This window comes from Homo sapiens, chromosome 14, assembly GCF_000001405.40.
Source record: "Homo sapiens chromosome 14, GRCh38.p14 Primary Assembly".
In the NCBI taxonomy this organism is placed as follows: Eukaryota; Metazoa; Chordata; class Mammalia; order Primates; family Hominidae; genus Homo; species Homo sapiens.
In genome coordinates, this window is record NC_000014.9 from 93501778 (window position 1) to 93521313 (window position 19536).

The 19536-nt window shown below is 34.3% G+C and overlaps 1 protein-coding gene across 30 annotated transcripts in view; it reads left to right on the forward strand.

The window, feature by feature from the left end:
• Positions 1-19536, forward strand: part of UNC79 (unc-79 subunit of NALCN channel complex) — a 374695-nt gene that overhangs the window by 168596 nt on the left and 186563 nt on the right. The window contains exon 1 of one of the 30 annotated variants that reach the window (XM_017021518.2): positions 15701-18514. The exons of the other annotated variants lie outside the window; for them this stretch is intronic. The gene's annotated coding sequence lies outside the window, so the exon portion shown is untranslated. Of the gene's footprint in view, positions 1-15700; positions 18515-19536 lie in introns of those variants that run through there. 30 annotated transcript variants of the gene reach the window in all.

Genomic DNA, 19536 nt, shown 5'->3' on the forward strand with positions numbered 1-19536 from the left:
CAGGTTTTGGTGAACTTTAAAACCTATAATTAAGATCATATTGTATGTAATTACACAAGGCTCCTCCCAACTATTTATGATAAAAGATGTCAAACACAGGAAAGTTTAAAGAATCACTATTAACACACAGGGTTAATGATTGTTAGTAATTCACCATAATTTTAACTTCACATATATGTGTAGGAATTATATATTATTTTCTAAACATAGTTAACATAGGAATATTTACAGCTCATACAAAGAAGATCAAATAATAAGAATTTGGTGATCTACAATGTTTTTTCCTTTTTGGTTTATTAGTGTATATCAACAACAACTGCTCCAATTATTTTGGCCTTAAAGTTGGAAAGAATTGGCCGGGCATGGTGGCTTATGCCTGTAATCCCAGCACTTTGGGAGGCCGAGGTGGGTGGATCACCAGGTCAGGAGATCGAGACCATCCTGGCTAACATGGTGAAACCCCGTCTCTACTAAAAATACAAAAAAAATTCCGGGTGTGGTGGTGGGCACCTGTAGTCCCAGCTACTCTGGAGGCTGAGGCAGGAGAATGGTGTGAACCCAGGAGGCGGAGTTTGCAGTGAGCTGAGATCATGCCACTGCACTCCAGCCTGGGTGACTGAGCAAGACAATGTCTCAAAAAAAAATGCAAAAAATTGATGTCTCATATTTTTATGGGACTCCCATGTGTATGTATATAATTAAAATGACTTTTTCTCCTGTTTAAAAAAAATGCAAAAAATTGTAACTTAAGTTTCTTGACAATGAAAATAGCCATTATGTTGTTCTATGCTTTTCTGCTTCTGTGGGAGAGAAAGAAATTATTTAGCAATTTTCCTGTTACAGTGTCCCAACTAGAAAATAATTTAGCCTTTGTTAGTAAGGAACAGCAGCAGTTATTGTTCAGTTTCCATTTGAACTATAGGACAAAAGATGTTACACAAGATGTACATCTCCAAGAAACAGACTCCACATTTCCAAGACAGGGACTGTACCTTTCTAAGACACAGACTGTTGCAAAAGCAGATAGAGAATAACTCAAGACAGTACTACAAGGTGAAATTTTGGTCTAGGCTACCAAATATCACATCAGTACATTGGATTTTTGAGATGTATACAAGTTAAGTGCAAGAAGGTCTACCAGTTCTTTTATGTCACATTGAGTTCTTAGTTATCTGTTTTATTAACTCAATCTTATCTCTACATAATTAAAAATGTTTTAAAACTTTTTTACCTGTGCCTTGTGTACATGCAGATAATCACAAATTTATAAGTGTTCATGGACCACCTCCTACCATATGTTCCCTCTTACACCCCAAAGGTAACTACTGACATGACTTCCAATACCCAAGATTAGTTTTGTCTGTTTTAGAATTTTATAAAAATGGAATAATCCATTATTTATTTGTATGTGTGTGTTGTGTGTATGTGATTTGTTCATGGTGTTGAGGATAACTGTACTTTGTTTTTTTATTGCTGTGCCTATTCTACCAAATGAATGTACCATAGTTTACCTATCCATTCTATTATTAGTGGACTTTTGGATTAATCCCACTTTCTGGCTTTTATATATAATGTTCCTGTGAACATCCTTGTATATGTCTTTTGGTGCATACTTGCATACATTTCTGTTAGGTGCCTAAGGTGGAATTCCTGGATTGGAGGATGTACATATATCCAACTTTAATGGATAATGGCAAACAGCTTTCCAAAGTAGCTGTATTAATTTGTCCTCTCATTAATAGTGTATGAGAGTTCTTTTTGTCTTATTTTCCACATTTTGGTTATTATTTGTTTTGATGGTTTTAAAAATTTTAGCCATTTTCAAGGGTGTGTAGAAGTATCTTATGATTATAATTTGCATTTCCCTGATTACTAGTGAAGCTGAACATTTCTTCCTATGTTTATTTGCCATTTGAACATCCTCTTATATGATCTTGGTCAGTTATATATGTTGCAAATATCTTGTTTTTTTATTTTCTGAATAATGTCTTATCATTAAATAAAGTTATTTTAATATTATCAACTTAGCATTCTTTGTCTTCATATTTAATCCTTTTCATGTCCTATCTAAGAAAATCCTTCCCTACCCCAAAATTATAATGCTTTTTTGTCATCTTCTATAATCTTTGTTTTTCATCTTTTAGATGTATCTGGAATTAATTTTTCTATATGGTATGAGGTAACGGCCAATCTCTTCTCTTATGGATAGCCAGTTGGCTCAACATTATTTATTGAAAATATTATTCTTTCCTTACTATTCTGTGGTACCATTTTTGTCATAAATCAAGTGTCTATTTAAAAATGATTCTGTCTCTGGATTCTTAGTTCAACTGGTTTATTTCTCCTTTTACCAATACCATACTCTTTTAATTACTGTAGCTTAATAATAAAATTTTAAATCCACCTGTGCAAGTCCTTTACCTTGTTATTATTGCTCTCTTCATCTTCCTTGTCTTCACCTACCTTCTCCTCTTTCTGTTCTTTCTCCTCCTCCTCCATTTCTTCCTCCTCCTTCAATAATATCTTGCCTATTCCTAGCTGTTTGCTAAGTTAAAAAATTTGTCAAGTTAAACATATACAAACACTCATACTGCTAGGATTTTGATTGGGATTGTCTTGAGTCTGTGTTGAGATAATCTTGATCAATTTGGGAAACTGACTTCTTTATAATATTGAATCTTCCAATCCATGAACATGGTATATCTCTTCATTTATTTAGGCTTTTTTAAGTTGCCCTCAATCCTTTTTCTAGTTTTCTACTAGATGTAGATGTGTAGATGTCTTGCATATCTCTCATGTAGTTTATTCCTAGATATTTATTTTTAGAATATTATTGTCAATTATATATGTTCTAAAAATTACATTGTCTAACTCTTTGTTGCTAGTATGTAGATGCAATTAATTTTTAGTATATTGGTCTTGTATCCAGCAACTTTGCTAAGTCACTTTTCACTTCTAATAATTTATTATGGTAGTCTTGCTTAAAAATTACTTTAATATGCACAATTATATTATTGTTGAATAATACACATTTAATATCTCTTTCTCAATCCATAAGCCTTTTATGTCTTCTTGCCTTATTGCAGTGACTTAAATCTCACTGCTATGCTGATTCCTAAATCCTGTGCTATGCTGATTTCTAAATGCTTCATGGTTTCTTCTTTGACCCATGGGTCATTTAGAAGGAGATTTATAGCTTTATCCTTCTGTGGTCAGATAACATACTTTGTATTATTTCATTCCATTGCCATTTTTAACACTTTCTTTAGGGTTGAACATATGGTCATTTTTGTAAATGTTCCTGTGTAAAGAACTTAAAAAGAACTCAAGAATGTAAAAAGAACTTCTATTTGGCAGTTGTTTGTGCAGTGTTCTACATGTGTCAATGAAATTAAATTTGTAATTGTTTAATTCAAATCCTGTATATTCTCATGATATTTTTGCCCATTTCTTCTATCTGTTACCAAGAGCAGGGTGTTAAAAATCTCTTACTATGACTGTGGATTTGTCTATTCCTCTTTGTAGTTCTGTCAATGTTTGTTTTATATATTTTCAGGCTGCATTATTAGGTGTATACAAGTTTAGAATGCAGTATCTTCCCAGCTAATTGAAACTTTTACCATTACAAAGTGCATGTCTTTATCTCTTCTAATACTTTTTGTGTTAAAATCTACTTTGTCTTATACTAATGTAGCTATACCAGCTTTCATGAGTGTTTGCATGGTATAACTTTTCCCATCTTTTAATTTTCAATTTTTTTGTATTCTTATATTTTATGTGTGTCTTGTAATCAGCATATAGTTCTTTAAACTCAATACTTACGATTTTTACCTTTTAATTGGAGCATTTAGCCCATATATATGTAATGTAGTTACTGGTATATTTGACTTTAAATCCACAATTTTCTATTGTGATCTATTTTTCCTGCTTCTTTTTTCTTTTTTCTCTCTCTCTTTTTTTTTTGCCTCTTTTGCACTAAGTATATTTAAATATTTCATCACCCCATCTTTGGCTTTGTAAGTTATTTAGTCCTCTACTATTCTTTCAATCATTACCCTAGAGATTATATCATGCATTCTTGACTTATCAGTGTCCAGTATAAAGTAGTACTTTTATATTGCTGCGTAAAGTGGCAGAAAATTTTAACTCCATTTACTCCCTCCTGACTTCCATGCTATACTTTATTTTATATATATACATATTATATATTCTACAAAACATAATTACTGTTGTTCAGTGCATCAGTTAGATTATATTTTCCTTTTTCTTGCTATTTTCCCCTTTTTGTATCTCTAAGCTCCTATCTGGGATTGAAGTTTTTTAAAATAATATCCTTTTATATTTCCTTTAGTGCCATTCTACTGAAGATACGTTTTCTCAGTTAGTGTTTGTCTGAAAATGTTTGTTTTGCCTTTGTTTCTTAAGGCTATTTTCTCATTGTATACAATTTTTTTTTTTTTTTGAGATGTAGTTTCGCTCTTGTCACCCAGGCTGGAGTGCAATGGCACGATCTCAGCTACCTGCAACTTCTGCCTCCTGGGTGCAAGCAATTCTCCTGCCTCGGCCTCCTGAGTAGCTGGGATTACAGGCACCTGCCACCATGCCTGGCTAATTTTTGTATTTTTAGTAGAGACGGGATTTCACCATCTTGGCCAGGCTAGCCTTGATTGGCAGTCATTTTATTTTTCATACTTTGAAGGTATTTCATGATTTTCTCATTTTCATTGTTTCTATAAAAAATTGACTATCAAAGTCAATTGCCAATTATTACTCTTTTGAAGATAAACATTTTTTTCTTTGTCTTAAAAGTTTTCTCTTTATTTTTTATTTTTGGCAGCTTTACTATGATATATCTAGTTATGATATTATGTATGTTTGTCTTTTTGGAGGGGTTCATAGGACTTGATCTGTGGCTTGATGTATTTTGTCACTGGAAAATTGTCAGGCTTATCTCTCTTTTGTTAGTGATAGTACTTTATTAAGGTATATTTTACATAAGTTAGATGCACAAGTATCAAATGTACAGCTGGGTCAATTATGACAAATGTATAATGCTCATGTAGTCGTCATCCAAAAAAGACAATGGAATGTTTCCATCAACCCAGAAAATAATGGTATGCCTTTTCCAAACACCATCCCCTTCTCTCATTCTGAAGTGATCACTATTCTGGTTTCTACATAATTCATATATTCATCTAATTCAGGTATTCAGGTAAATGGAGATCAAACATGATACATTTTTTCATTTCTGAATCCATTCAGTCAACATATTACTGAGATTAGTCCATGTTAGTGGATATTAGTAGTTCTTTTTTTTATTGCTAAGTATTCCATTGCATGGATATGTCATTTGTTTATCAACCTTCCTATTGATGTATATTTGGGTTGTTTTCAGTTTTTAGCCAATATACATAAAGCTGCTATGAATATCTTATACAAGTTTTTTTGTGGACTTACGCATTTATTTCTCTTGGGTATATACCTAGGACTGGAATTGCTGGGTCATAGAGTTTATAAGAAGTATCTAAACAGTTTTCTAAAGTGTTTATGCCATTTTACATTTCATCCAACAATTTATGAGAGTTTCAGTTGCTCTCCACTCTGCTATCACTTGCAATTGTCTGTGTTTTTAATTTTAGCCATTCTGGTGAGTGTGTATCTTGTGGCTTTAATTTAAATTTCTTTGATGACTGCTGTTGAGCACATTTTTATATAATTATTGGTTATTCCTATATCTTATGAAGTACCTGAGAAAGTCTTTTACCAATTATTGATTGGGTTCTTTATCTTCTTTGTTGTTGATATGTAGTTGTTCTTTATTTAGTTTGATACAAGTCATTTGTCAGATTTATATAATACAAATATTTTATTCCAGTCTTGGGGTTACTCTTTTATTTTCTTAACAGTGTCTATTTTGATGAGCATGAGTTTTTAATCTGGTAAACTGAAATTTATCATTTTTGCTCTTATGGTCAATGCCTTTCATGTCCTGTCTAAGAAGTCTTTGCCTTCTCCAAGACTGTGAAGATTTTCTCCTTCCAGAAGGTCTATATTTCCATTTAAGTCTATGATCTGTCTTAAGTTTAATTTTTGTGTATGATGGCTATGGCTTATTGTCTTCCTTATGATTTATATTTCCTTATTTCCAGTGCCCTTTGTTGAAAAGATTATTTTCTCCCCTTTGAATTATATTGGCCCCTTGGTCATATTTTTGTGGGTTTATTTATGGACTGTGTTTGTTTTCATTTATTTGTATCTCTGTCTGTACACCAATACAATTGTCTTAAATACTTTTATGTTATAGCCTTGAAATCAGATAGTTCAAATCTCTATATTTGTTCTTTTTCTTTGACTACTTTGGCTATTTTAGAGACTTTGCATTTCCATTTAAATTTTAGCATCAGCTTTCAATTTTCAATTTCTGTCGAAAAAAAAAAAAACCCACTAAACCCGAAAAAAGGCCAGGCATGGTGGCTCACACCTGTAATTCTAGCACTTTGGGAGGCCGAGGTGGGAGGGTCACATGAAGCCAGGAGGTCAAGAACAGTCTGGGCAACATGGTGAGACCCTATCCCTGTTTATTAAAAACAGCAGCAGCAGTAGCAGCAACAACAACAACAACAAAAAGAATTTCTGCCAAAATAATCCTGCTGGGATTTTAATCTGGATTGTGTTAATCTGTGATTCCATTTGGAAAGAAATGGCATCTTAACAATATTGGATTTTTGAATCCATGAATGTGGTATATCTTTCTATTAGTTAGGTCTTTTAAAATTTCTCTCAGTGGTGCTCTGTATTTTTCACTGTAGAAGTCTTACATTTCTTTTGTTAAATGAATTCCTAGGTGTTTGAATTTTTTTATGCCATTGTAAATGGCATTATTTTAAAATTTAATTTCCAATTGTTTATTGCTTGTGTAAGGAAATCCAATTGAGTTTAACATATTGATCTTTTATCTCATGAGTTTGCTAAATTCAATTATTAGTTCTAGTAGTTTGTTTATTAGTTGGATTTTCTATATAGGCAATGGTGTCATCTGTGCTACTTCCTTTCAAATCTTTATATCACTTATTGCTGTTTTCTTTCTTTGTTTTATTGTCCAGTACTTTCACAACAGAGTCTGTTGAATAGAATTGATAAGAATGGATATTGCGTTAGTCTGTTTTCACACCACTAAAAAGAAATACCTGAAACTTGTTAATTTATAAAGAAAAGAGGCTTAATTGGCTCATGGTTCTGTGGGATATGCAGGTTTCTGCTTCTGGGGAGACCTCAGGAAACTTACAATAATGGCAGAAGGTGCAGGGGAAGAAGGCACATCTTCACATGGCTGGTGGGGGAAGTGTGTACACATCCTTTTAAACAACCAATTCTCTGAGCACTCACTCACTATCATGAGAGCAGCAAGGGGGAAATCCACCCCCATGATCCAATCACCCCTCACCAGGCCCCTCCTCCAACCATGGGAATTACAATTCAACATGAGATTTGGGTGAGGACACAAATCCAAATCATATAATTCCACCCTTGGCCCCTCCAAAATATCATGTCCTTTTCACATTTCAAAACACAATCATGCCTTCCCAACAGTCTTCCAAAGTCTTAACTCATTGCAGCATTAACTCAGAAGTCAACAGCCTGAAGTCTTATCTGAGATAAGGCATGTCTCTTCCACCTATGATCCTGTAAAATAAAAAACAAGTTAGTTACTTACAGATTATAATGGGGATACAGGCACTGGGTAAGTACTCCCTTTTCAAAAGGGAGAAATTGGCCAAAACAAAGGGGCTACATGGCCCATGAAGTCCGAAACCCAGCAGCGCAGTCATTAAATTTTAAAGCTCCAAAATAATCTGCTTTGACTCCATGTATCACATCCAGGCCACACTAATGCAAGGGGTTGGCTCCCAAGGCCTTGGGCAGCTCTGCCCCTGTGGTTCTGCAAGGTACATCCTCTGCAGCTGCTTTCATGGGCTGGTGTTGAGTACCCGCAGCTTTTCCAGGTGCATGGTGCAAGCCATCGTTGGATCTACCATTCTGGGGTCTGGGGGACAGTGGACCTCTTCTCACAGCTCCACTAGACAGTGCCCCCATAGGGACTCTGTGTACGGGCTTCAACTCTGTATTGCCCTAGTAGAGGTTCTCCGTGAACGCTCTATCCCTGCAGCAGACTTCTGCCTGGACATCCAGGCATTTCCATACATCCTCTGAAATCTAGGCACCGGCTCCCAAGCCTCAACTCTTGCCCTCTGCATATCCTCTGGCTTAACACCACATGGAAGCCACAGAGGATTATGGCTTGCACTCTCTGGAGCAGTGGTCTGAGATGTATTTGGAGCCCTTTTAGCCACAGCTGGAGCTGGAGTGGCTATAATACAGAGAACAGTGTCCTGAGGTTGTGCAGGGCAGTGGGGCCCTGCCCATGAAACCATTCTTCCCTCCTAGGCCTTGGGGCCTGCCGTGTGAGGTGGTGTCACAAAGTTCTCTGAAATGCCTTCAAGAAATTTTCCCCATTGTCTTGGATATTAACATTTGGTTCCTCTTTACTTATGCAAATTTCTGCAGCTGGCTTGAATTCCTCCCCAGAAAATGGGTTTTTATTTTTACCACATGGTCAGGCTGCAAATTTTCCAAATTTTTATGTTCTGCTTCCCTTTTAAATATTAAGTTTCAGTTTTGGATAATCTCTTTGCTTATGAATGTAAGTATGCACTGTTAGAAGCAGCTTGGCCACATTGTGAATGCTTTGCTGCTTAGAAATTTCTTCTGACAGATACCTTAAATCATCTCTCTCAAATTCAAAGTTCTACAGATCCCTAGAGCAGCGGCACAATTCTGCCATTCTCTTTGTTGAAGGATAGCAAGAGTGACCTTTACTCCAGTTCTCAATAAGTTCCTCATCTCCATCGGAGACTGCCTCAGCCTGGAATTCATTGTCCATATCACTATCAGCATCTTGGTCACAACAATTTAACAAGTCTCTAGGAAGTTCCAAACTTTCTGTCATTTTCCTGTCTTCTTCTGAGCCTTCCCAACTGTTCCAACCTTTGCCCGTTACCCAGTTCCAAAGTGGCTTCCACATTTTCAGGTATCTTTATAGCAATGCCCCACTTCTCTAGTATGAATTTCCTGTATTAGTTTGTTCACACACTGCTATAAAGAAATACCTGCAACTGGGTAGTTTATAAAGAAAAGAGGTTTAATTGGCTCATGGTTCTGTGGGTTATATTGGCTTCTGCTTCTGCGGAGGCCTCAGGAAACTTACAATCATGGCAGAAGGTAAGGGGGAAGCGGGCACATCTTCAAGCGGTGGCAGGAGGGAGAGGTGGTGGGGAGGTGCCACGCACTTTTAGACAACCAACTCTCTGTGCACTCACTCACTATTATGAGAACAGCAAAGGGGAAATCCACTCCCACGATCTAGTCACCTTCCACTGGGCTGCTCCTCCAACACTGAGGATTACAATTTGACATGAGATTTGAGTGAGGAAACAAATCCAAGCCATATTAGATATGGTTGCTTTGTTCCTAACTTGAGGGAATATTTCACCATTAAGCATGCTATTAGCTGTAGGGTTTTGCAAATCTCCTTTATATCAGTTTCAGAAAGTTAAATTTTATTTCCAGTTGACTTAGATATTTTATTCTGAATAGTTTTTATTTTTTATATTTATTTATTTATTTATTTTGAGACAGAGTCTCGCTTTGTCACCAGGCTGGAGTGTTGTGGTGCGATCTCGGCTCACTGCAGCCTCTGCCTCCTGGGTTCAAGCAATTCTTCTGCCTCAGCCTCCCGAGTAGCTGGTATTACAGGCATGTGCCACCACGCCCAACTAATTTTTGTATTTTAATAGAGACGGGGTTTCACCATGTTGGCCAGGATGGTCTCGATCCCTTGACCTCGTGATCCACCTGCCTTCACCTCCCAAAGTGCTGGGATTACAGGCATGAGCCACCGTGCATGACCAGTTCTTAAATTTCACCAAATGCTTACATAAACTAAAACAAATAAACAAAAAACAGAAAAATGATAAAAGTTGTGTTCTGTATGTATCATTGTTTTCTGCTTTTATCTTTACTATCTTGTTTCTTTTACTTTCTTGAATTTAATTTTTTCTTCTTTTTCCTAGCTTCTTGGGATTAAAAAATTAGATTGTTTATTTCCAACATTAATTTTTTTCTAATTATCCATTTAAAATTACCAACTTCCCTCTAAGTTCTATATTTGCTGCATCCCACAAATTTTGATATTTTGGGTCTTTACTAGCATTCATTTAAAAATATTTAAACACTTTAATTGCTCTATCTTTATTGCCTGTGTTATTTAGGAGAGTAGTTTAACTTGCAAATATCTGGGCTCTAGTTACCTTTTTGTTTTGATATCTATGGTAATTCCATTGTAATTAGTGAACATTGCTTCTCTCATTTAACTCTTTAAACGTATCAATTCATTGTATCCAATAGGAAATTACATATTATTCTTGTAATTGTACCTCTGAATGTAGTATGATATTTTTCTCTGCCTCTTTGAAAGATTTTCTGTTTATTTTTGGTATTTAGTACTTTCATTATGTTCTGCTTGAGTGTGGTGGTTTTTGTACTTATTTTGCTTGGGGTTTGCTGAGCTTCTCGAATCTGTGGTTTTATGTTCTTCATCAGTTTTGGAAAAATTTGGGATATTATTCTATCCAGGTATTTATTCTGCCATTTCTGTTTTCTCCTCTCATTCTGGGACTTTAAAAAAATATTTGGTACTTTTTCCAGAGGTATCAAATACTCCATTTTTAAAAAATGTTTACCTGTGCATTAGTTTGGATTTGTATTAATTTTTCAAGTTCACTGATCCTTTCTTCTGCTGCGTCCAATATTTTTTAAAAGTCCAGTCAATGAGTTAGTAATTTTATATATGCTATCTTTTCTAATTATGTTTTTAGGTCTAGAATTTTCTTTTAGCTATTTTTTACAGTTTTCATCTCTCTCTGGGAATTTTCATCTGAATGATCTATTTCTGTATATTCTTTAACATATTTGAACTACTTATTTTAAAATTCTTATTTTTAATTTGAAATGAGTCTAGGTCATTTGCTTCTTTTCACTCTTCCTCTTGATTATGGATCACATTTTCTAGTCCTTTCACATGTCTTGTAAATTTTTTATTGTATGATGGACATTGTAAAGAATATGTTGTAGAGACTCTGAACTATTTTATTTATTCTAAAAAGCATTGTATTTTGTGTTTTGTATTTGCTGGTGTGAAGTTACTGGTGGATCACCTTCTTGCATCAAGGCTTAGCTTTATTTATTTTTATTTTAAATTTTCAGATTTTATAGGCTTCTTGATCTCTAGTCTTTTAAAACAAATTTTACTTGTACATATTTTTGTTTTTTTGTTTTTCCCTCCCTCCCTCCCTCCCTTCCTTCCTTCTTTCCTTCCTTCCTTCCTTCTTTCCTTCCTTCCTTCCTAACATGGTCTCACTCTTGCCTAGGCTGGAGTGCAATGGCATCACAATCATAGCTCACTGCAATCTTGAACTCCTGAGATCAAGTGATCTTCCCACCTCAGCCTCCTAAGTAGCTGGAACTACAGGCATGACCAACACACCTGGCTAATTTTTTATTATTTGTAGAGATGGGCCTCCCTATGTTGTCCAAGCTGGTCTCAAAATCCTGGGTTCAAGTGATCCTCCTGCCTCAGCCTCCCAAAGTGCTGGGATTACAGACATGAGACCCTGTGTCTGGCCTAATTGTACCTTTTTATGGGATATAAAGTATCCCATACATTTTTGTTATGGCCTGATATTTTGTTACCTGCACAGACTGTGTAATGATCAAGTCATGGTATTTGGGGTGTCCATCACCTCAAGGATTTATTATTTCTATGCATTGGGGACATTTCAAGTCGTCTCTTCTAGGTGTTTTGAAATATTGAAATATACAATACATTGTTGTTAAATATAGTCAACCTACTCTACTATCAAATATTGGAACTTATTCCTTCTATCTGTTTGTACCTGTTAACCAGCCTCTCCTTCTCTGCCCTTCTCTTCCCAAGGACTTAAATTTATAACTTGTTAAGCCAAGTATATTTCAGTTTTGCCTTTAGTCCTAGTGTATAACTATGACTCCTATAGCATTATCTTCAATATTTGTGTTATGTAGTAAAAGCAGTGTTTAGAGGGATATTTACAGCACTGAAGACATACAGTAGAAAGAAGGAACATGTAAAATCAATGCTATAGTCTTCTACTTTAGGAAACTAGAGAAAGAAGAGCAATTTAAGCCTGAAGTAAGCATAAGAAAATAAATAACAAAAATTAGAGAACAAGTCAGTAAGATTTAAAACAGGAAAACATAGAGAAAAATCAACAAAATTAAAAACTGTTTTTTAAAAAATCAATAAGCTTCTAGCCAGTCTAACCAGGGAAAAAGGAAAAGACATTAGACACACATTTCTAATATCAGAAAGGAAATAGATATTATTATTTCCTGATCTCATGGACATTAAAAGGATAGTGAAGGATTACTATGAACAACCCTATGTCTACAAATTTATAAACTTAGGTCTAGAGCACGGTCTTTATTCCTAAGGTGTGACCTATCTGTTACAAACTATTGTCTCCTGAATTTCTGATGTGTTCACTAAAGCTCTTTGCTTTGGCTACATTGGAAATACAACATATATCTAGCCCTTTGTGACCTCCAAAATCTCTGTTCTGCTTTCAACCATTGAGCAGAGTTCTCTGCTAGTCCTTGCAGAAGTTTGCTCTGAGCACATGCGGGCCAAAGACCTGAGGGATGCCCTTCCACTGATCTGTGATACCTCTTCTTGGTAGCTCTCCTCTGTTCTCTACCTTTACTCACAAATTCCATCCGCCTTAGCATTTCTTTATTTTGATTTCTCTACCCACTGAAAATCTGTTTCTTCTACCCACCAAAAACGCTGATTTCTTACTGAGTTCCATTTTTCTATGCTGCATTTTGGAAATATCACCAGGCAGAAAGCCAAGGTGAATGTAGAACTTAACTTGTATGCTTTACTTTTTAAAAAAGAGAGCAGCCCTGTGCTGTATCTATGCCCAATGTCTGAAACCAGTTTGTCCAGTGGAAAGATAAGTTCAATACCAGCTTTTTATTATGGTTGTAACTGGAAGTTTCCTTATCTCTTCAAAAGTGGCTTCTGACACATTCTCATCCCTCTTTCTGGAATTCTAATGGCATTTATGTTAGACCTTTCTCTCGTACATCCTTTTATGCATATTTTTTGTATTCCCCGTCCCCCACCATTTCATCTTTCTGTGCTTCACACTGAATCTGTTTCTGACATGTCTTCCTGTTCTCAAATTCTTGATCCTCCTAATTATGTTTTAAATTTTGATTATTATATATCTTTTCTTTCTAAAGTTTTGTAGCCTTTGACCAACATTCCCCAAATTCTACCCCCCATTATATTTTTCACTTCTAGAATTTCCATTTGGTCCATATGTATATGTGTGTGTGTGTGTGTGTGTGTGTGTATTTCCAGTTCTTTGATGATATTCTCTTATCTTCTACTTTATAGAACATATTAAGCATAATTATTTTAAAATCTGTTTCTGATGACTCAGTGTTCTGGATCCCTGGAGATTCTGATTCTCTTGTCTGTTGTTTCTTTTGTTTTGTTTTCTTGTCTTCTTGTTTGTGTGGTTGTTTTTTATTGTGTTCAAGACAATAGATATAAAAACTATAAACCTAATTTGAGACTTAGTATGATGGATTCCTTCAGAGAGAACTTAATTTTGCTTCTGGTGAAAGGGTATAATTCTTAGGTCAGATTTTCATTGTTTGTGCTCTGTGGCTACTGTAACCACTAATTTCATATATTTATCTTTCCCTCTATATTCTTACCTTCTCAGGTTTGCTTACCCTTTGTGTGTATATGTGAAGTTACCAATGAACTTTTTGCTCATTTTTAAATTGGGGTGTTTATTTTATTATCTTATTATATTGTATGTTCAAAATATAAGACTTTTGTCAACATAATGTGAATATGCTCTCTCATTCAGGGGCTTCCCTGTTGAAGTATTTCAAAGAGAAGGAGATTTTAATTTTGATAAATTAATTGAAATTTATCTTTTTTTTTTCTTTTGTGGTCCTTTTTTTGGTCTCTCCTAAGGTTGTAAAGAAATTCTATGCTTCTAGAAGTTACATAGTTTAAGATTTTACATCTAAGTATATGATCTATTTGGAATCAATTTTAGTATATAGCAAGAGGTAAGGGTTGGATTTGTTTTTCCTTTAAGGATATCCAGTTGTTTCAGTTCAATTTGTTGAAAAGAGTATCTTTTCCGTATTGAATTACCTTGACCCTTTTGTTGAATAATAATTAACCATATATGTATGTGTCTATTTCTAAACTCTCTATTTTGTTTCATTGTCTATCCTTATACCAATATCACATAATCTTGATTACTGTAGCTTTACGGTGTATTTTAGAATCATGTAGTATAAATCCTCTAGATTTGCTCTTTTAAAAATTTTATGGGCTATTTTAATACATAAAATTATGTAGTGTAAGTACTCCAGATTTGTTCTTTTAAAGAATTTTTTGGGCTATTTTAGTACCTTTGCATTTTCATATAAATTTTACTATCAGTTTGTAATTTCTACAAAACAATCTGCTTGGATATTTTTTTTGGGGGGGGGGGTGGGGGATGGAGTCTTACTCTGTTGCCCAGGCTGGAGTGCAGTGGCATGATCTCAGCTCACTGCAACCTCTGCCTCTCCGGTTCAAGTGATTCTCCTGCCTCAGCCTCCTGAGAGGCTGGGATTACAGGCATGTGTGACTATGCCTGGTTAATTTTTGTATTTTTAGTAGAGATGAGGTTTCACCATATTAGCCAGGCTGGTCTCAAACTCCTGACCTCAGGGTGATCTGCCTGCCTCAGCCTCCCAAAGTGCTGGGATTACAGGTGTGAGCCATTGCATCTGACCTCTGCTTGGATTTTTGAATGAGATTACATTGACTATATAGTTTAATTTGGGGAGAATTGACATCTTAACAATATTGAGTCTTTTCATCCATGAACATGGTATATTTATCCATTTATTTAGGTCTTCTTTAATTTCTTTCAGCAATATTTGCTGGTTTTTAGTGTACAGATATTATATTTTGTTAAAGGTGCTCCTAAATATTTTATGATTTTATATGCTATTATAAATAGTGTTTAAAAATTTTAATCTTCTACTTGTTTATTGGTACTCTACAAATACCCTGCAACCTTGCTAAATTCACTTCTTAGTTTTTGTGGCTTTTTTGTAAGTTTCTTGAGATTTTCTGTATACCTGATTATGCTCTCTGCAAATAATTTTTTTTCTTTTCTTTCTAATTTGTATGCCTTTCTTTTTTCCTTCCTTCCTTCCTTCCTCCCCTCTCTCCACCCCTCTCTCCCTTTCTCCATCCCTCCCTTCCTTCTTTCCTTCCTTCCTTTCTCTTTCTTTTTCTCCTCTTTTCCTTTTCTCTCTCTCTTACCCTTCTTTCCTTTCTCCCTTTTTTTCTTTCTATCCTTCTCTTTTTTTTTTTTTTTTTGCACTGCTTAATATCTCCACTTGAATAGAAGTACTGAGAGTGGACGTCCTTGTTCTTTCTCCCAATCTTTGGGGAGAGTATTTGGGCTTTCACCATTAAATTATTATGTTAACTGTAGGTTTTTCATAGATTTTTTTTTTTTTACCAGATTGAGGAAATTACTGTCTGTTCTTAGTTTGCTGAGAGCTTTAATCATGAATGTCAGTTTTGGTCAAATGCATTTTCTCTTTCTATTGAGATGATTATATGATTTCTTCCCTTCATTCTGTTAATATGGTAAATTACATTGATTTTCTTGGCAACGTTATGCCTTTTATGCCTATTTTTTGTATTCCCCATCCCCCACCATTTCATCTTTCTGTGCTTCATACTGAATCTTTTTCTGACATGTCTTCCTGTTCTCAAATTCTTTAGCCTCCTAATTATGTTTTTAATTTTGGTTATTATATATCTTTTCTTTCTAAAGTTTTGCAGCCTTTGACCAACATTCCCCAAATTCTGCCCCCCTGTTATATTTTTCACTTCTAGAATTTCCATTTGGTCCATATGTATATGTGAGTGTGTGTGTGTGTGTGTCTGTGTGTGTGTGTGTGTGTGTGAAATGCAATCTTGCATTCTTGGGATGAACTCATCTTGTCATGCTGTATTATATTGCTAGATTTAATTTTCTAAGTTAAGTGTTCAGGTTCCTACATTTATGAGAGATATTGTTTTGTTTTATTTAATTATGATGTCTTCATCTGGTTCCATTTACAGAGTAATACTGACCTCATAAAATGAGTTGGAAAATGTTTTTTTCTCTTCTAATTTCTGAAAGAGTTTATGTAAGATTTGTATTATTTATTCTTTCAATGATTAATAGAATTTACTGGTGAAGCCATATGGACTTGGGGTTTCTTTGAGGGAAATGTTTTATGTTGTGAATGTAATTTTAATAGTTATGGGTTTTTTTTACTTTTATTGAGTTATAGTGAGTTATTTGTGTCTTTTAAGGAATGTGAGCATCTCATCCAAGTTTTCAAATTTATTAGCATGTCTGTAGGATCTGTAGTGATGTTCTACCTTTCATTCCTGATATTGGTAATTCATGAATTTTCAATTTTTTTTTTGTCCATCAGGATGCTGGGGCCTATCAAGTTTTTGGGACTTTTCAAAGAACCAGTTTTTGATTTTATTGATTTTATCTATGGATTTTCTGATTTCAATTTCATTGATTTCTGTTTCTTTATTGTTTTCTTCCACCTACTGAGTTCTGTTCTTTTTCTGTCTTCTTAAGGGAGATGCATAAACTTTTTATTTCAGATCTTTAATATTTTCTCATATAATAATTTTTAGCTATAAATTTCCATTTAATCATTGCTTTAGTTGCTTCCCAGAAATTCATTATATATGTTATGCTTTTATTGTATTTCAGTGCAGGATATTTTCTAAAGTTTCTTCTTTCATTCATGAATTGTTTAGAAGTGTGCTTTTTAATGTGTAAATATTTGGTAATTTTTCAGATACTTTTGTGTTATTGGTTTCTAGTTTAATTCTATTGTGGCTAGAGAATATGCTGTATGATGTAGCTCCATCTAAATTTTTGAGACTTATTTTATGGACTGGAATACCTATCTTGTTAAATGTTGCACGTGTACTTTAAAACAATGTGTATTCCACAGTGGTTGAGTGGAGATTTCTAACATTATAAAATAGGTTAAGTTGTTTGAGAGTGTTTTCAAGTCTTATATATTTGCTGATTTTCTGTCTGCTTGTTTTATCAGTTACTGAGAGAGGATTATGGAAATTTACAACTTCAGTTATGCTTCTTTCAATTCTCTCACCTTACTAAGGGTACAAATATTTATGGTTTTTATGTTTTCTAGGTTAATTGACCCTTTCATCATTGTAAAATTGCCTTGGTTTTTCTGGTAATATTCTTTGTTCTGAAATCTATTTCTCTGATATTAATATAGACACTCAAGCTTTCTTATAATTTCAATTATGGTATAACAATTATGCCATAATTGCATAGTATAACTTTTTCTGTTTACTTCTAGCTTATCTGAGCCTTTATAATTTAGCTATGTTTTTCACAGGCAGCATACAATTGGGTCATGGGTTTTAAAAAACTCAAATCCTATTTCACAATCTTTGCCTTTTAGACCATTTACATTAGTAAAATTATTGTTTAGACCATTGGCATTTAATGTAATTTCTGGTATGAATTGAAGCCTATCATGATACACTTGTATGACTGAAGCCTATCATGTTACACTTGTTTTATATTTGTCCCATCTGTTCCTTTTTTTTCTTTTTGATATCTTGCCTTTTTTGAATTAATTATTTTTAGTGTTATATTTTATTTCTGTATTGTACTGTTAGCTACACCATCTTTAAAAAATTGCTCTTGGGTTTATAATATGCACTTTTAACTTCACAGTCTACCTCAAATTATATCAGTTTACATATAATGTAAGGCCTTTTTGTATTTTAATTTTACCCCTCCTATCCTTTTTGTTATTGTTACCAAACATCTTACTTCTATATATATTATTAGCCTCTATTCATTATAATTATTTTTTGTTTTAAATAATCAACCATCTTTTAACAACATATTAATATGAGTAAAAAAGCCTTCTGTAGTTATTCAGCATACTTACCATGTCCAACACTCTTTATGCCTTTGTGTAAATTTGAGCTACTATCTGGTATCATTTTCCTTTAGCCCGAAAAACTTCCTTTAACATTTCTTGTAGTGGAGCTCAGCTGGAAATGAATTCTCTTATTTTGTGTTTGTCTTCAAATAGTCTTTATTTCATACTCATTTTTGAAGGATAATTTCACTGGGTATAGAATTCTAGGTTGACAGTTTTTTTCTTTCAGCCTATTAAAGATGTCGTTCCATTGTCTTCTGGCTTGCATTGTTTCTGACGAGAAATCAGCGATCATTCTTATCTTTGTTCCCCTGTAAGTAATGTGTCTTTTTTTCCCTCCTGGCTATTTTTAAGATTTTCTTCTTATTGGTTTTCATCAATTTGTTTATAATGAATTTTGGTGTTATTTTCTTTGCTTTTATCTTGCCTAGGATTCATTGAGCTTCTTGGATTTGGGGGTTGTTTTCATCAGACTTGAAAATTTTTAGCCATTGTCTCTTCAAATATTTCCCCCTTTTATTTCTTTTGTGCTTTAAATCACATGTACTTGGAGCAATCATAAAAATTTGGCTTTATACTAAGTAAAATATATGTAAGGTAAAACTGCCTGAAATTTTCCCACAGTTCACTGTATCTCTATTTTTCTTCCATTATTTCAGTTTGGGTAGTTTTGTTATGTCTCCTAATTCACTGATCTTTTCTTCTGCATTGTCTATTCTTCTATTAAGCCCATTCAGTGAGTTTTTCAAGTTGTATTTCTGATTTTTAAAGTCACATTTAATTTTTAAATTATATCTCCCATCTCTATCCTCATTATGCCTATCTTCATGCTTTCCTTTGCCAATGTTTATGATAACTATTTTAAAGTTCTTCTTTGCCAACTACTTCATCTCCACAGTTTCTGGGTTTGTTTCTGCTGATCTGTTTTCCCCCTGGTTATGAGTGACATTTTACCCCCTTTTCAAATATCAAATAATTTTGACTGGATGCTGGATTTCATGATTGTTACATTATTGAGTGTCTGAATTTTGCTGTCTTCCATTACAGTATGTTGAAGTTTGTTTTGGCAATCAAGCTACTTGTGGATTAGTCTGACCATTTCAAGGCTTATTCTTAGGTTTTGTTAGAATGAGCCTAGAGTAACTTTTTCTCTAATGTTAGTTTAACCCTATTACTAAGAAATGACCCTCCTAAAGTTTCTATGATTGCTCCAAGTATTTAGTGATTTCCCCCTACTCTGACTGGTTGGACCTTGAATATCTTCCAGCCCTGTACAAGCTCTAGGAATTGCTTAGCTCACAGAACTCTCACAGTTTTTCTCTATCCAGCCTCATA